Here is a 14901-nt window from a genome sequence, read left to right on the forward strand (position 1 = left end):
AGCTTCACTCCTGAAGTCAGCAAGACCACAAACCCACCAGAAGGAAGAAACTCTGGATGCATCTGAACATTGAAAGGAACAAACTCTGGACACACCACCTTTAAGAACTGCAACACTCACTGTGAGGGTCCGCAGCTTCATTCTTGAAGTCAGCGAGACCAAGAACCCACTGGAAGGAACCAATTCCAGACAAATTTTGGTGACCACGAAGGGACTATCGCCTATCACCTATCGCCAAGCAGTGAGTACCATCGGACCCCTTTCACTTGCTATTCATCCTATTTTTCCTTAGAATTCGGGGGCTAAATACTGGGCACCTGTCGACCAGTTAAAAGCAACTAGTGTGGCCGCCAGACTAAAGACACGGGTGTCAGGCTTTCTGGGAAAGGGCTCTCTAACAACCCCCAACTCTTTGGAGTTGGGAGCGTTGGTTTGCCTGGAACCAGCTTCCATTATTCCTGTACTTCCAGGCTGAACCAAGGGTTGACAGGGAGGAAAGCCATTCAGCTCTGGGGTCCTGACAACAAGTTCATTGACCCTGCGGCCATGAGTGAAACTCTCAAAGTCATGTCGCCCAAGTGAGACTCACCTATCTATTCTATCTACCCTAACCCTTGCCTCCTGGGTCCTAATGCCTGCCAGACAAACTTCCTCTTGCTTCTCTTCTCCGAGGCTAGTCCCGCTTCTAAAAACCACTCCCTGTCTCTGGTGCTTTTCTAGTTTCCCCTATAAGAATGATTTCTAGTATAAACTTCCGGACTCTGTTACCATCTTTAGGCACCCAGGCTCACCAATGAGAAAGACATAATTTTTGCCCAAAGCCCCATCGTATGGGGGACTATCTGGAATTTTAGGATCCCTCCTCAGACAAGCAGGCCTAACAAAAGCTATTCCTGAAGCTAGAATATGGGGAGCCTCAGAAATTGTATCCTTCCTATTCATATAAATGAAGACAAAAGGCATTACGCTTCCAACTCTGGAGCTCCCTTCCCTCCCTCAGGGTATGGCCCTCTACTTCATTTTTGGGGCATAACATCTTTATAGGACACAGGTAAGGTCCCAATACCAACAGGAGAATGCTTAGGACTCTAACAGGTTTTAGAGAATGCGTCGGTAAGGGCCGCTAAGTCCGATTTTTCTCGGTCCTCTTTGTGGTCTAGGAGGACAGGCAAGGGTGCAGGTTTTCGAGAATGTGTAGGTAAGGGCCACTAAATCCAACCTTCCTCAGTCCTCCTTGTGGTCTAGGAGGAAAACTAGTGTTTCTGCTGCTGCATTGGTGAGTGCAACTATTCCAATCAGCAGGGTCCAGGGACCATTGCGGGTTCTTGGGCAAGAGGTGTTTCTGCTGCTGCATCAGTGAGTGCAACTATTCTGATCAGCAGGGTCCAGAGACCATTGCGGGTTCTTGGGCAGGGGGAGAAACAAACAAACCAAAACCATGGGTGGTTTTGTCTTTCAGAAGGAAAACACTCAGGTATCAACAGGCTCACCCTTGAAATGCATCCTAAGCCATTGGGACCAATTTGACCTGCAAACCCTGAAAAAGAGGTGGCTCATTTTTTTCTGTGCTATGGCCTGGCCCCAATATTCTCTCTCTGATGGGGAAAAATGGCCACCTGAGGGAAGTATAAATTACAATACTATCCTTCAGCTTGATATTTTCTGTAAGAGGGAAGGCAAATGGAGTGAAATACCTTATGTCCAAGCTTTCTTTTCATTGAAGGAAAATACACAACTATGCAAAGCTTGCAATTTACATCCCACAGGAGGACCTTTCAGCTTATCCCCATATCCTAGCCTTCCTATAGCTCCCCTTCCTATTAATGATAAGCCTCCTCTAATCTTCCCTGCCCAGAAGGAAATAAGCAAAGAAATCTCCAAAGGACCACAAAAACCCCAGGGCTATTGGTTATGTACCCTTCAAGCTGTAGGGGGAGGGGAATTTGGCCCAACCTGGGTACATGTCCCCTGCTCCCTCTCTGATTTAAAGCAGATCAAGGCAGACCTGGAGAAGTTTTCAGATGATCCTGATAGGTACACAGATGTCCTACAGGGCCTAGGGGAAACCTTCCATCTCACTTAGAGAGATGTCATGCTAGTGGTAGATCAAACCCTGGCCTTTAATGAAAAGAATGTGGCTTTAGCTGCAGCCTGAGAGTTTGGAGATACCTGGTATCTTAGTCAGATAAATGATAGAATGACAGCCCAAGAAAGGGACAAATTCCTTACTGGTCAGCAAGCCATCCCCATTATGGATCCCCACTGGGACCTCAACTCAGATCATGGGGACTGGAGTCGTAAACATCTGTTGACCTGTGTTCTAGAAGGACTAAGGAGAATTAGGAAAAAGCCCACGAATTATTCAGTGATGTCCACCATAACTAAGGGAAAGGAAGAAAATCCTTCTGCCGTCCTTGAGCGGCTACGGGAGGCCTTAAGAAAATATGCTCCCCTGTCATCTGAATCACTAGAGGGTCAATTGATTCTAAAATATAAGTTTATTACCCAATCAGCCACAGATATCAGGAGAAAGCTCCAAAAGCAAGCCCTGGGCCCTGAACAAAATTTGGAGGCATTATTAAACCTGGCAACCTCGGTGTTCTATAATAGGGACCAAGAGGAACAGGCCGAAAAGGAAAAGCGAGATCAGAGAAAGACCGCAGCCTTAGTCGTGGCCCTCAGACAAACAAACCTTGGTGGTTCAGAGAGGACAGAAAATGGAGCATGCCAATCACCCGGTAGGGCTTGTTATCAGTGTGGTTTACAAGGACGCTTTAAAAAAGACTGTCCAAACAAGCTGCCCCCTCACCCATGTCCACTATGCCAAAGCAATCACTGGAAGGCACACTGCCCCAGAGGACAAAGGTTCTCTGGGACAGAAGCCCCCAACCAGATGATCCAACAACAGGACTGAGGGTGCCTGGGGCAAGCACCAGCTCATGTCATCACTCTCACTGAGCCCCAGGTATGTATAACCATTGAGGGGCAGGAAATTGACTTCCTCCTGGACACTGGTGCAGCTTTCTCAGTGTTAATCTCCTGTCCTGGACAGCTGTCCTCAAGTTCCATTACCATCCAAGGAATCCTGGGACAGCCTGTAACCAGGTGTTTCTCCCACCTCCTCAGATGTAATTGGGAGACTTTGCTCTTTTCACATGTCTTTCTTGTTATGCCTGAAAGTCCCACACCCTTATTAGGGAGGGATATATTAGCCAAAGCTGGAGCTATTATCTAAACGAATATGAGGAATAAGTTACCCATTTGTTGTCCCCTACTTGAGAGGGGAATCAACCCTGAAGTCTGGGCATTGGAAGAAACAAACTCAAGCTCTAGCCTTAAGCCTTCCCAAAGGATGAAACTTTTCTTTAAACATCACAGAGAAAGCAGAAATAGCTCCTGGGGTCCTTACTCAGACTCGTGGGACAACCCCATGACCAGTGGCATACCTAAGTAAGGAAACTGATATAGTAGCAAAAGGCTGGCCTCACTGTTTAAGGGTAGTTGTGGCAGTGGCCATCTTAGTGTCAGAGGCTATCAAAATAATATAAGGAAAGGGTCTCACTGTCTGGATACTCATGATGTAAATGGCATACTAGGTGCCAAAGGAAGTTTATGGCTATCAGACAACTGCCTACTTAGATACCAGGTGCTACTCCTTGAGGGACCAGTGCTTCAAATACCTATATGCGTGGCCCTCAACCCTGCCACTTTTCTCCCAGAGGTTGGGGAACCAATTGAGCATGACTGCCAACAAATTAGTCCAGACTTATGCTGCCCGAGATGATCCCTTAGAAGTCCCCTTAGCTAATCCTGACCTTAACCTATATACCGATGGAAGTTCATTTATGGAGAATGGGATACAAAGGACAGATTATGCCATATTTAGCGATGTAACCATACTTGAAAGTAAGCCTCTTCCCCCAGGGACCAGCACCCAGTTAGGAGAACTAGTGGCACTTACCCGAGCCTTAGAACTGGGAAAGGAAAAAGCAATAAATGTGTATACAGAGAGCAACCATGCTTATCTAATCCTACATGCCCATGCTGCAATATGGAAAGAAAGGGAGTTCCTAACCTCTGGGGGAACCCCCATTAAATAACACAGGGAAACCACGGAGTTATTGCACGCGGTGCAAAAACCCAAGGAGGTGGCAGTCTTACACTGCTGAAGCCATCAAAAGGTGAAGGAGAGGGAAGAACAGCAGCATAAGCCACTGGCAGAGGCAGGGAAACACCAGCAGAAAGGAAAGCAAGAAAGAGACAGAAAGTCAGAGAGAGAGAGACAGAGAGAGGAAGAGAGAGACGAAGAAGTCAAAGAGAGAGATAGAAGTAGTAAAGAAAAAACAGTGTACCCTATTCCTTTAAAAGCCAGGGTAAATTTAAAACCTATAATTGATAACTGAAGGTCTTCTCAGAAACCCTATAACACTCCAATACCACCTTGCTGTCAGTGTAAACAAGGGCGTAGCCTGAAAGCACTGAGGCCACTGACAACCAGTAGCCTTCCTATCAAAAATCCTTACCCAGCAGGTTTCCTAACAGGGGATCTAAATCTTAATTAATTCCCATACAAAGGTCTGACCAGATCTAGGAGGAACTCCCTTCAGGACAGGACGGATAGATGGTTCCTCCTGGGCAATTAAGGAAAAAAAAAACACAATGGGTATTCAGTAAATAATAAGGAAACTCTTGTAGAAGCAGTGTTAGGAAAATTGCCTAATAATTGGTCTGCTCAAATGTGTCAGCTGTTTGCACTCAGCCAAACCTTAAAATACTTACAGAATCAGGAAGGAGCCATCTATACCAATTCTAAGTTAATATGGACTGAACGAGGTCTTACTAATAGCAAAGAATAATTGAAATCCCAAACTTACAAGGTTTTCAACTAACGTAAAGTTTGCTAAAAGTTAACAGTGTAACATGCATTATCCTACTACCATACACTCTCAAAGGATTTCTCAGACAGTTTGCATGAAATAATGAAATCTATCCTTACTCTACAATCCCAAACAGACTCTTTGGCAGCAGCGACTCTCCAAAATCGCCAAGGCCTAGACCTCCTCACTGCTGAGAAAGGAGGACTGTGCAGCTTCTTAGGGGAAGAGTGTTGTTTTTACACTAACCAGTCAGGGATAGCACGAGATGCCACCCGGTGTTTACAGGAAAAGGCTTCTGAAATCAGACAACACCTTTCAAACTCTTATACCAACCTCTGGAGTTGGGCAACATGGCTTCTCCCCTTTCTAGGTCCTGTGGCAGCCATCTTGCTGTTACTTGTCTTTGGGCCCTGTGTTTTTAACCTTCTTGTCAAATTTGTTTCCTCTAGAATTGAGGCCCTCAAGCTACAGATGGTCTTACAAATGGAACCCCAAATGAGTTCAACTAACAACTTCTACCGAGGACCCCTGGACTGACCTGCTGGCCCTTCCACTGGCCTAAAGAGTTCCCCTCTGGAGGACACTACACCTACAGGGCCCCTTCTTCGCCCCTATCCAGCAGAAAGTAGCTAGAGCAGTCATCAGCCAAATTCCCATCAGCAATTGGGGTGTCCTGTTTAGAGGGGGGATTGAGAGGTGAAGCTGGCTGGGCTTCTGGGTCAGGTGGGGACTCAGAGAACTTTTCTGTCTAGCTAAAGGATTGTAAACGCACCAATCAGCACTCTGTGTGTAGCTAAAAGTTTGTAAACGCACCAATCAGCACTCTGTCAAAATGGACCAATCAGCACTCTGTAAAATGGACCAATCAGCACTCTGTAAAATGGACCAATCAGCACTTTGTAAAGTGGACCAATCAGCTCTCTGTAAAATGGACCAATCAGCAGGATATGGGTGGAGCCAAATAAGGGAATAAAAGCAGGCCACCCCAGCCAGCAGCGGCAACCTGCTCGGGTCTGCTTCCACGTCGTGGAAGTTTTGTTCTTTCGCTCTTCGCAACGAATCTTGCTGCTGCTCACTCTTTGGGTCCACACTGCCTTTATGAGCTGTAACACTCACCACAAAGGTCTACGGCTTTACTCCTGAAGTCAGTGAAACCACGAACCCACCGGGAGGAACGAACAACTCCGGACGCGCCACCTTTAAGATCTGTAACACTCACTGTGAAGGTCTGCAGCTGCACTCCTGAAGTCAGCAAGACCACGAACTCACCAGAAGGAAGAAACTCCAGACACATCTGAACATCGAAAGGAACAAACTCCAGACACGCCATCTTTAACAACTGTAGCACTCACAGCGAGAGTCCGCAGCTTCATTCTTGAAGTCACCAAGACCAAAAACCTACTGGAAGGAACCAATTCCGGACACACCATCACCTACGTATTAAGCTCAGCATCACTTAGCTATACTTCTTGATGCTCTCCCTCCCACCACCCCCAACTCCAACAAGCCCCAGTGTGTGTTGTTCCCCACTGTGTCCGTGTGTTCTCATCATTTAGCTCCCACTTACAAGTGAGAACATGCAGTGTTTGGTTTCTGTTCCTGCATTAGTTTGCTGAGGATAATCACTGGAAATACTTGCTCTGTATTTAGAGTTCATAAAATTTGCAACTTATAAAAAGCAGATTCGTATACCTAAGTTATTCCAAATGTAAGTTTTCTATTAACTTATCAGTTTTTAAATTTATATTAAATTAAAAATCAGGTTCTTAATAGCCACAGGTGACCAGCAGTTTCTGTATAAGACAGTACAACTGTTAGAAGTGATTGCTTTAAATGAGGCACTCGCTTCAGGCACTAAGTTTTGAGGGGTGGGGTGCCAGAAGCTCAGTGATCAAGGTAGACAATATTTCAATGCAATATGTTTTTAAAAATTCAAAATCAGGCCAAGCATAGTGGCTCATGCCTGTAATCCCAGCATTTTGGGAGGCCACGATGGGCGGAACAATATTTAAGGTTTAGAAAAATATTTGTGCCCAGGTGTTGGAGACCAGCCTGGGCAACATGGCAAAACCCCGCCTCTACAAAAAATAAATTAATTAGCCCGACATAGTGGTGCACGCATATAGTCCCAGCCACTCAGGAGGCTGAGGTGGGAGGATCGCTTGAGCCATGAAGGTTGAGGCTGCAGTGAGCTGTCATCTCACCACTGCACTCCAACCTGAGTGACAGAGTGAGACCCTGTCTCAAAAAAAAAAAAAAAACCAAAATCAATGCAAAAGATGAATTATGGACAGGATATTGAGGTTTTGAATACAGACATTAACTCAATAAGGGTAAGGCCCGTGTCTGTTTTCTTTATTGTTATATTGACAGTACTTTGAACAAAGTCTGGCTCTTACAGTTGTTTGTCAATATTTGCTGAATGAATTCAAAGGGGACAAAATGTTTAAGGTATGGGTGTTTGACATTTTCTGCCTAGATCCCCAATACCACTCTTGTCTTTATTGGGTCCTTATTACAAAGCACCATTGGCGAAGGTATGGAAGAGAAGCAGTCTCCTACAATTGTGGGTAAGAGTGGATTTTTAAAGCTATTTGGCAATATCCGTCAAAACTTAAAATGTATATAGATTTTAGCTCCAAATTTCTCAGTTTACACCCAACAGAAATAACAGCATAGATGTATAGCATTGCAGTGTTGCTTGTTGAATCAAAAGACTGGAGTGGAAGCAGGGACTTAAGTTTCCGCCTGTAATCCCAGCACCTTGGGAGGCAGAGGCGGGCGCATCCCTTGAGATCACGACTGGGTGACACAGTGAGACGCTATCTCAAACAAACAAACAAACAAACAAACAGTTACACGGGCAGCATGCGAACTCAGCGTACTCAGGGAGGCAGATAAAAGCCGAGACCAAAGTGAAGGAGCCCAGCTGCAAATTCAACTCCGAAAGACCCTGGACTCCGCAAACGTCTGGCCGCGGCTCTTGAGCTCTTCTATTAAGTTTCGGTTTCTGAAGCTTACGTTTAGTTTCGATTTCTTAAGTTTCAGTTTCTGAGCGCTCGGCATCTGATTCAATCTCCAGTTTCCTGTTCTTGCTGGGGCTGGGGTCTCTCCTTTAACAAAGACACGCCGCGCGGCCGAGTCCAGGGGCTGCAGAGGCCTGGCGCGCGCACGCGCACGCGCACGCCCACCGCGCGGCTTCCCGCGGTCCCCGGTGCTGAGGAGAGAGCGATCCGAGGGACTGCGCCGCCCGGACGGCCTGCAGAGCGCTGCCATCATGAGGTAAGGGTTTTCCTTTGCCTCTCCTCCCAAGCCCTGCGTCGGCCTTGGTTTCAAACCGGGCTGCTTTTATTCATTTCCAGCGCAGTTCTGCGGCCTTTTCAGGGGCCGAGCCCCTCGCGCCCAGCAACCGGGCATCTGCGTTGGGGACCCTCCCCGGGCGCTCTGTCCCGGCGCGCGGCGTCTGAAGTCGGGCCTGCCGGGGAGGGTGGCCGAGTGGACGCTTCTCGGGAGTCCGGCCCCTCCCCAGCGCCTAAGAAGGCCGGTCAGGGAGGAGGAACAGGAGATGCTCCCCGGGAGCCTGTCCCATCCCTGGCGTCTGCGGTCGGGACTGTCAGGGTATGTGCCGGGCGACGCTCCCCCGGAAGGCCTGTCCACCCATCGCGACCCGACGGCTCTTCTCGGCAGCGGCGACGGTGACCGTGCTGGGTCCGCGGCCGCCGCCTCCGGGAAACTGGTCAGCGCCTGCAGAGCCCCCAGGCGCTGTTCCGGGGGCAGCTGCTACGTGCCACGGGTCTCCTTAGGCCTGTCGCGTGCCTCTCTTTCCAGCTGCCATTCCCTCGGTGTGGCATACGCGGTTTCGCCGCAGCCCTGCAGGCGTCAGGTTCGCCTGCCACTGCCAGTTTGCGTTTCTGATTTCTGGGTCTGAGTTCTTCCCTTCCCAGGAGCTACCTCTGTACCAAGCACAGATTGTTATCGTCCCACCCAATCCGCTGTTTTATGAGGATTTCTTTATCTGTTTCCTTTACTGATTTAGTATGATGGCGTCCTTTTCTTGATCATTTTGTATCCCCAGGGGCTAGCACCCCGCCCTGCACGTGGTTAGTGAACCTTCCGCATTTAATGAGTTGAGGAATGAGATGTTAAGGTCTTGGGCTCTAAAAGCAGATAGTCCCTTGTTCTAAATCCGGACTGAACTCCTACTAGTTGAGTGATCCCAAAGTTTCTCAAACTCTGTGAGTCTGTTCCTTATTTGTAAAAATTAATGGTGTCCATCTCTTGGGACTGTGGAAAAGGACAGTAATAAATCCTATCAGTTGACTGCTTAGCACATAATACTTGCACAATAAATGTTAATTATTCCCATTATAAGTTTAAAAAAAAAGTTTAAGTGCCACCCACACATCTAACTTTATTTTTGAGACGGAGTCTCGCCCTGTCACCCAGGCTGTAGTGTAATGGCTCCATCTCGGCTCACTGCAACCTCCGCCTCCCGGGTTCAAGCCATTCCCCTGCCTCAGCTTCCCGTGTAGCTGGGATTACAGGCGTGTGCCACCACGCCTGGCTAATTTTTTGTATCTTTAGTAGAGACGCGGGTTTCACCATGTTGACCGGGCTGGTCTCGAATTCCTGACCTCGTGGTCCACCCGCCTCAGCCTCCCAAAGTGCTGGGATTACAGGCGTGAGCCACAACGCCTGGCCACATCTAACATTTGTAAGAAAGGAGAGTGCTATCAGGAAGGGGCTTGACAACAACAACAACAACAAAACAACAACAACAACAAAAAACAGAAAAAGACGGTGGCGTGCACCGTATATATGCAGGATGGGGAGGAAAAGGGCTCAGCCCCATTGGGGACTGTCTCCCAAGGACAATGAAAGTCTGCTTCTTCCTAGCAGAAGAACAGAATTACCGAAAGATACGTGTTACCTCTTCTGATGCAATAGCTTCTCTCTTATTAGCTTCCCAAAGACAAAGTTACAAAATTAAGTAGACAAAGTTTAAACAATAAAAATTCTCATGGTGTCCAGTTGTGCATAAATTCCAGAGCCTGGACAAACCACGTCAGTACCTGATTGAATGTCCCTTTGAGATCTTACAACCAAATCCATAATACCTGAGCAGCCCTCCTCATCCTCCTTGGGCTGGGCTGGTAGAGACCTTCAAAACAGGTGTTTGTTTTAGGCAGGGGGCTGGTAAAGCCATGTTGTTGTGGATTTAAGCAGGCTGTAAGGACATGGCATGTCTTGCCCATATTTTTGGTACAATTACACTAGAGAAAGGAACAATTACCAAGGAGCAATTTTACCAGGTTTCCTAGTCAGGATCAGTACTCATAATACAAAAATGGAATTTTCATATTAATTATTGAATATGTATATATTCATTCCTAATTTTCAATGGTTTAGTGATTGCCAAAAGGAAATAGATACATGTAATACAGAAAGCTCTGTCATCTCTCCAGAACTGTTTTTGCAATAAATAGTGAGAATTTAAATGAAATATTTCTAGGACATAACTGTATATAGAAGAAACTCTAGTATAAAGTTATGGGAAACTTATGTTTTAACTGTAAGATCAAATAGGGATAAAATTAGTTGTTATGCAAAGAACAATATTTAAGGTTTAGAAAATTATTTCTTGTATTTCTTCAAAAATTAAAAAGTATTTTATCTTTGACAGTGAAATTCGTAAGGACACCTTGAAGGCCATTCTGTTGGAGTTAGAATGTCATTTTACATGGAATTTACTTAAGGAAGACATTGATCTGTTTGAGGTAGAAGATACAATTGGGCAACAGCTTGAATTTCTTACCACAAAATCTAGACTTGCTCTTTATAACCTATTGGCCTATGTGAAACACCTAAAAGGCCAAAATAAAGACGCCCTTGAGTGCTTGGAACAAGCAGAAGAAATAATCCAGCAAGAACACTCAGACAAAGAAGAAGTACGAAGCCTGGTCACTTGGGGAAACTATGCCTGGGTGTATTATCACATGGACCAGCTTGAAGAAGCTCAGAAGTATACAGGTAAGATAGGGAATGTCTGTAAGAAATTGTCCAGTCCTTCTAACTACAAGTTGGAGTGTCCTGAGACTGACTGTGAGAAAGGCTGGGCACTCTTGAAATTTGGAGGAAAGTATTATCAAAAGGCTAAAGCGGCTTTTGAGAAGGCTCTGGAAGTGGAGCCTGACAATCCAGAATTTAACATCGGCTATGCTATCACAGTGTATCGGCTGGATGATTCTGATAGAGAAGGGTCTGTAAAGAGCTTTTCTCTGGGGCCTTTGAGAAAGGCTGTTACCCTGAACCCAGATAACAGCTATATTAAGGTTTTTCTGGCACTGAAGCTTCAAGATGTACATGCAGAAGCTGAAGGGGAAAAGTATATTGAAGAAATCCTGGACCAAATATCATCCCAGCCTTACGTCCTTCGTTATGCAGCCAAGTTCTATAGGAGAAAAAATTCCTGGAACAAAGCTCTCGAACTTTTAAAAAAGGCCTTGGAGGTGACACCAACTTCTTCTTTCCTGCATCACCAGATGGGACTTTGCTACAGGGCACAAATGATCCAAATCAAGAAGGCCACACACAACAGACCTAAAGGAAAGGATAAACTAAAGGTTGATGAGCTGATTTCATCTGCTATATTTCATTTCAAAGCAGCCATGGAACGAGACTCTATGTTTGCATTTGCCTACACAGACCTGGCCAACATGTACGCTGAAGGAGGCCAGTATAGCAATGCTGAGGACATTTTCCGGAAAGCTCTTCGTCTGGAGAACATAACCGATGATCACAAACATCAGATCCATTACCACTATGGCCGCTTTCAGGAATTTCACCGTAAATCAGAAAATACTGCCATCCATCATTATTTAGAAGCCTTAAAGGTCAAAGACAGATCACCCCTTCGCACCAAACTGACAAGTGCTCTGAAGAAATTGTCTACCAAGAGACTTTGTCACAATGCTTTAGATGTGCAGAGTTTAAGTGCCCTAGGGTTTGTTTACAAGCTGGAAGGAGAAAAGAGGCAAGCTGCTGAGTACTATGAGAAGGCACAAAAGATAGATCCAGAAAATGCAGAATTCCTGACTGCTCTCTGTGAGCTCCGACTTTCCATTTAAATACATACTCTAGGAAATTAGCTCTAAGTTTTTCCCTTCATTTTGGGTTCTCCTGTTTGTTTTTTTTTTATTATTTTAATCCCTTGTTTATTATAGAGCTAATATTTATTGAATAGTTATTGTGTACCAAGCATTGTGCTAAATACTTTATATGCATTATGATGAATCTTGTGCGGTTTTCTTTCTTTTTTTCTTTTTAATTAAAATACTATAATCCATTGAGAAATAGCAATATTCTAGCTATTGTAACTTCTAAAAATGGTATGGCCATTAGATCTGTGCTTTTTATCTCTGCTCTTTGAATTTCTCATATTATATAGTAAATATATTCCTACGTAAACCTTTGATACCTAGATCAGGAATACTCTTCCAGGAGTACAAAATTACATTATTGATAGTTAAGCTCTTAATTGTGTAGCTTGCAAAAGACAGCACTTTTTAGTTACAGATGTTTTGACTTTGATGAGGATATTTAGCTATCAATCTAATAGTCACCTAAAATATCTTTTTTGTTGGAAAAAAGTTTATAATAAAAAAGTTTGTCATCTCTAGTGACTTCAATAAAGAAAAAACTAGAAGAGGAGAAAAAGGATTTCCTCAAATTTTAAATATGTAACTTCAGGGATTCAATCCCCAAATGTTTATTAAGTAGCTAGAAATAATTATGTGGAAAAAAATGAATAATGGAAAATAGTGAGTCTCAAATTGTTCTCTTTTTTTTTTTAACTAAAACAAATCTGCAATGAATCTAGATGCAATTAATTTTATTCCTTCCAACTAAAATTACAATATTTTTAGGTTAAAATTATTGAGATATAAAGCAGCCATTGGGAAATTGGGAGAAATGATAAACAAATGGAAAAAGAAGATGTCCCTAACCTACACCCATAGATTACCAAGGTTTCAGTGTACTAGTTTTGAATCTGTTCTGAATGGAGTTTTTATACCCTCAATTTCTGGCCTTTGGCTATTTTAGCATTTCAAAGTGACTTCTATGAAGCTTTTTTTTTAATGTGAAATTTTCAGAATGTTGTTTTTTTCATGTAGATACTCCAGGAAGAGTTAAGCACTGCTTTCAGTTTTAATATCCACCTTGAGGGGTCGCTGCTTGAGGGCTCTTATCCCAGGGGACTTTTTAATTCGGATGTTACTTAATGTGGCTTCTCTAATGTAGTTTCTTTGATTACCGACTACACAATTATGTACCATCACAGTATTAGTGGAAAAGTACCATGTGATTTAATTCTCCATTCCTCCAATGTAACTCTTAAAATTATTATGTATGTGTGTGTGTTTTACTTTTTGTTTTTTATCATCTTTAAAATTTCTATTATGGTTTGATTATTATAAAAATAATGAATTCTCACTGTAAATTTCAAAAAAAAATTACAAAAGTATGTGAATTTAAAAATGAGAGCAGTCCTCTCACCCTACCACAGTTCCACACCCTCAAGGTAAACTTATAACTTATAATTTGATATGTAAACTTCCAGATCTTTTTTCTATGCGTAATCAGACATACATATATACTGCAGTGTATCTCACGTATTAATTTTTAAAAATCTTTTGTTTTACTTAATTCTGTTTTTATTATTATTATTATTTTGTTTGATCTATTAAGGAAGAACAAGGAAGGGAATGATCTTTACTCAAGAATTTCAGAAAGTCAGCACTGAAGTCCTGACCTATCAGTAGACACATTTGTCCCTTTCAGATATTTTAGGATATTCTAGCAAAGCAGGCCATTTCTCCCACCTGAAAGTACATAACTTCTATCACTTGCCACATAATTAAAAGAACTCACATTAAGCGGTTACTCAGACAGTTAATCATAGAAAAGATTATTTGCTTCATCAGTTCATAGAAAAGATTATTTGCTTCATCAGTTAACTTGTTTTTATAAATCAGGGCTGTGTTCATACACAGAAGGGGCCTGAGATTTCTGCACTTTAAACAAGCTCCTCCTAGGTGAGGATGCTGTGGCTGTTCTAATTACATTTTGAGTAGTAAGGTCTACAGCATTGTTCCTCAAACTTGGCTACGTATTGGAATCACCTAAAAAGTTAAAACAAAACATGGATGTCTGGGTCCCGCCCCATAGAGAATGACTTAATTGGCATGGGGTGCAGTCCAGGCATCATGATTTTTAGATTTCCCAGTTGGAACTTGTGCAGCAAAGTTTGGGAGCTACTGATGGACATGTGAAAAGTAAGTATAAATGGAATAAAATTAATTAGGCTAATAGGCTTAACCCAGGAAATCCTAAGTTCCTTGAATATCCAGTTTGCATTTGGACTCCTCATCATATACTTGGTATATAATACTCTAATAAAAGCTGCCTGAGTTGAATTGTATATTGTCCTGCACCTACCTCTGAAAACTGCCCTTATCAACTGACTCAAAGTCTCTGAAATGGGTCCAAATCCTACTTAGTTAGATGAACTCATCCTGTCAAGCCTGATAAGAATCCTATGATGCCAGGCCCAAGTTGTTTTGTTGCCTATTAGACAAACTCATAAATATGCCCAGAAAAGTGGCTGTGATTGCTCTTCAGGGTAATTTGACCCTTCCGGAAAAGAAGTGCTGCCTCTCCAAATCTTGAAGGTGCTCTTGGAAACTACTTCATTCAGCACTAAAGGTACGCTCCCTGACTCACAAAAGCTGAGAAAAGCCCTTTCAACAAATGATAAATCAGCTGGCAGAAAAACTGGTTTCCCAGTCATGGAGCTCTTAAAGATATTTGCTTCCTCTCTGGGTGCAGAAATAGTCTTACCTGTTGATCACATGCTATCAGCCAGTTTCAAAAGCAATATAAGCTGTTACTATTCCTTTCTAGATTGAGTCAACGATGCCGATTACTTCAGTTCAGGAACAACCTTGTAGACAACACAGAACTT

The 14901-nt window shown here is 43.7% G+C and overlaps 2 protein-coding genes across 9 annotated transcripts in view, besides 3 other annotated features; one reads left to right on the forward strand and one right to left on the reverse strand.

The window, feature by feature from the left end:
• LIPA (lipase A, lysosomal acid type) overlaps positions 1-8035 on the reverse strand; it is a 201108-nt gene extending 193073 nt beyond the window's left edge. For 4 of the 8 annotated variants that reach the window (NM_001440839.1, NM_001440819.1, NM_001440821.1 and 1 more), the window contains exons 1-2: positions 7899-8035; positions 6147-6278 (exon numbers count right to left, since the gene is read on the reverse strand). In NM_001440839.1, coding sequence (NP_001427768.1) covers positions 6147-6207 — 61 coding nt within the window. In that variant the 5' untranslated portion in view covers positions 6208-6278; positions 7899-8035. Of the gene's footprint in view, positions 1-5993; positions 6279-7762 lie in introns of all 8 variants that reach the window. The other 4 variants (NM_001440823.1, NM_001440831.1, NM_001440822.1 and 1 more) reach the window with 4 other exon arrangements.
• Positions 7781-8090: an enhancer, noted in NCBI's record as "active region_3750". NCBI's record gives its function as "activates an Ori minimal core promoter by ATAC-STARR-seq in GM12878 lymphoblastoid cells {active_cell/tissue: GM12878}" and the evidence as "EXISTENCE:reporter gene assay evidence [ECO:0000049][PMID:35858748]".
• Positions 7924-14353, forward strand: IFIT5 (interferon induced protein with tetratricopeptide repeats 5). Its single transcript, NM_012420.3, has 2 exons — positions 7924-8159; positions 10561-14353. The coding sequence occupies exons 1-2, from the start codon at positions 8155-8157 to the stop codon at positions 12002-12004; spliced, it is 1449 nt and encodes a 482-aa protein (NP_036552.1). The 5' UTR covers positions 7924-8154; the 3' UTR covers positions 12005-14353.
• Positions 8701-8800: an enhancer, noted in NCBI's record as "active region_3751". NCBI's record gives its function as "activates an Ori minimal core promoter by ATAC-STARR-seq in GM12878 lymphoblastoid cells {active_cell/tissue: GM12878}" and the evidence as "EXISTENCE:reporter gene assay evidence [ECO:0000049][PMID:35858748]".
• Positions 8901-8970: an enhancer, noted in NCBI's record as "active region_3752". NCBI's record gives its function as "activates an Ori minimal core promoter by ATAC-STARR-seq in GM12878 lymphoblastoid cells {active_cell/tissue: GM12878}" and the evidence as "EXISTENCE:reporter gene assay evidence [ECO:0000049][PMID:35858748]".
• Positions 14354-14901: the final 548 nt, after the last annotated feature.

Source organism: Homo sapiens, chromosome 10 (assembly GCF_000001405.40).
Source record: "Homo sapiens chromosome 10, GRCh38.p14 Primary Assembly".
Taxonomy (NCBI): Eukaryota; Metazoa; Chordata; class Mammalia; order Primates; family Hominidae; genus Homo; species Homo sapiens.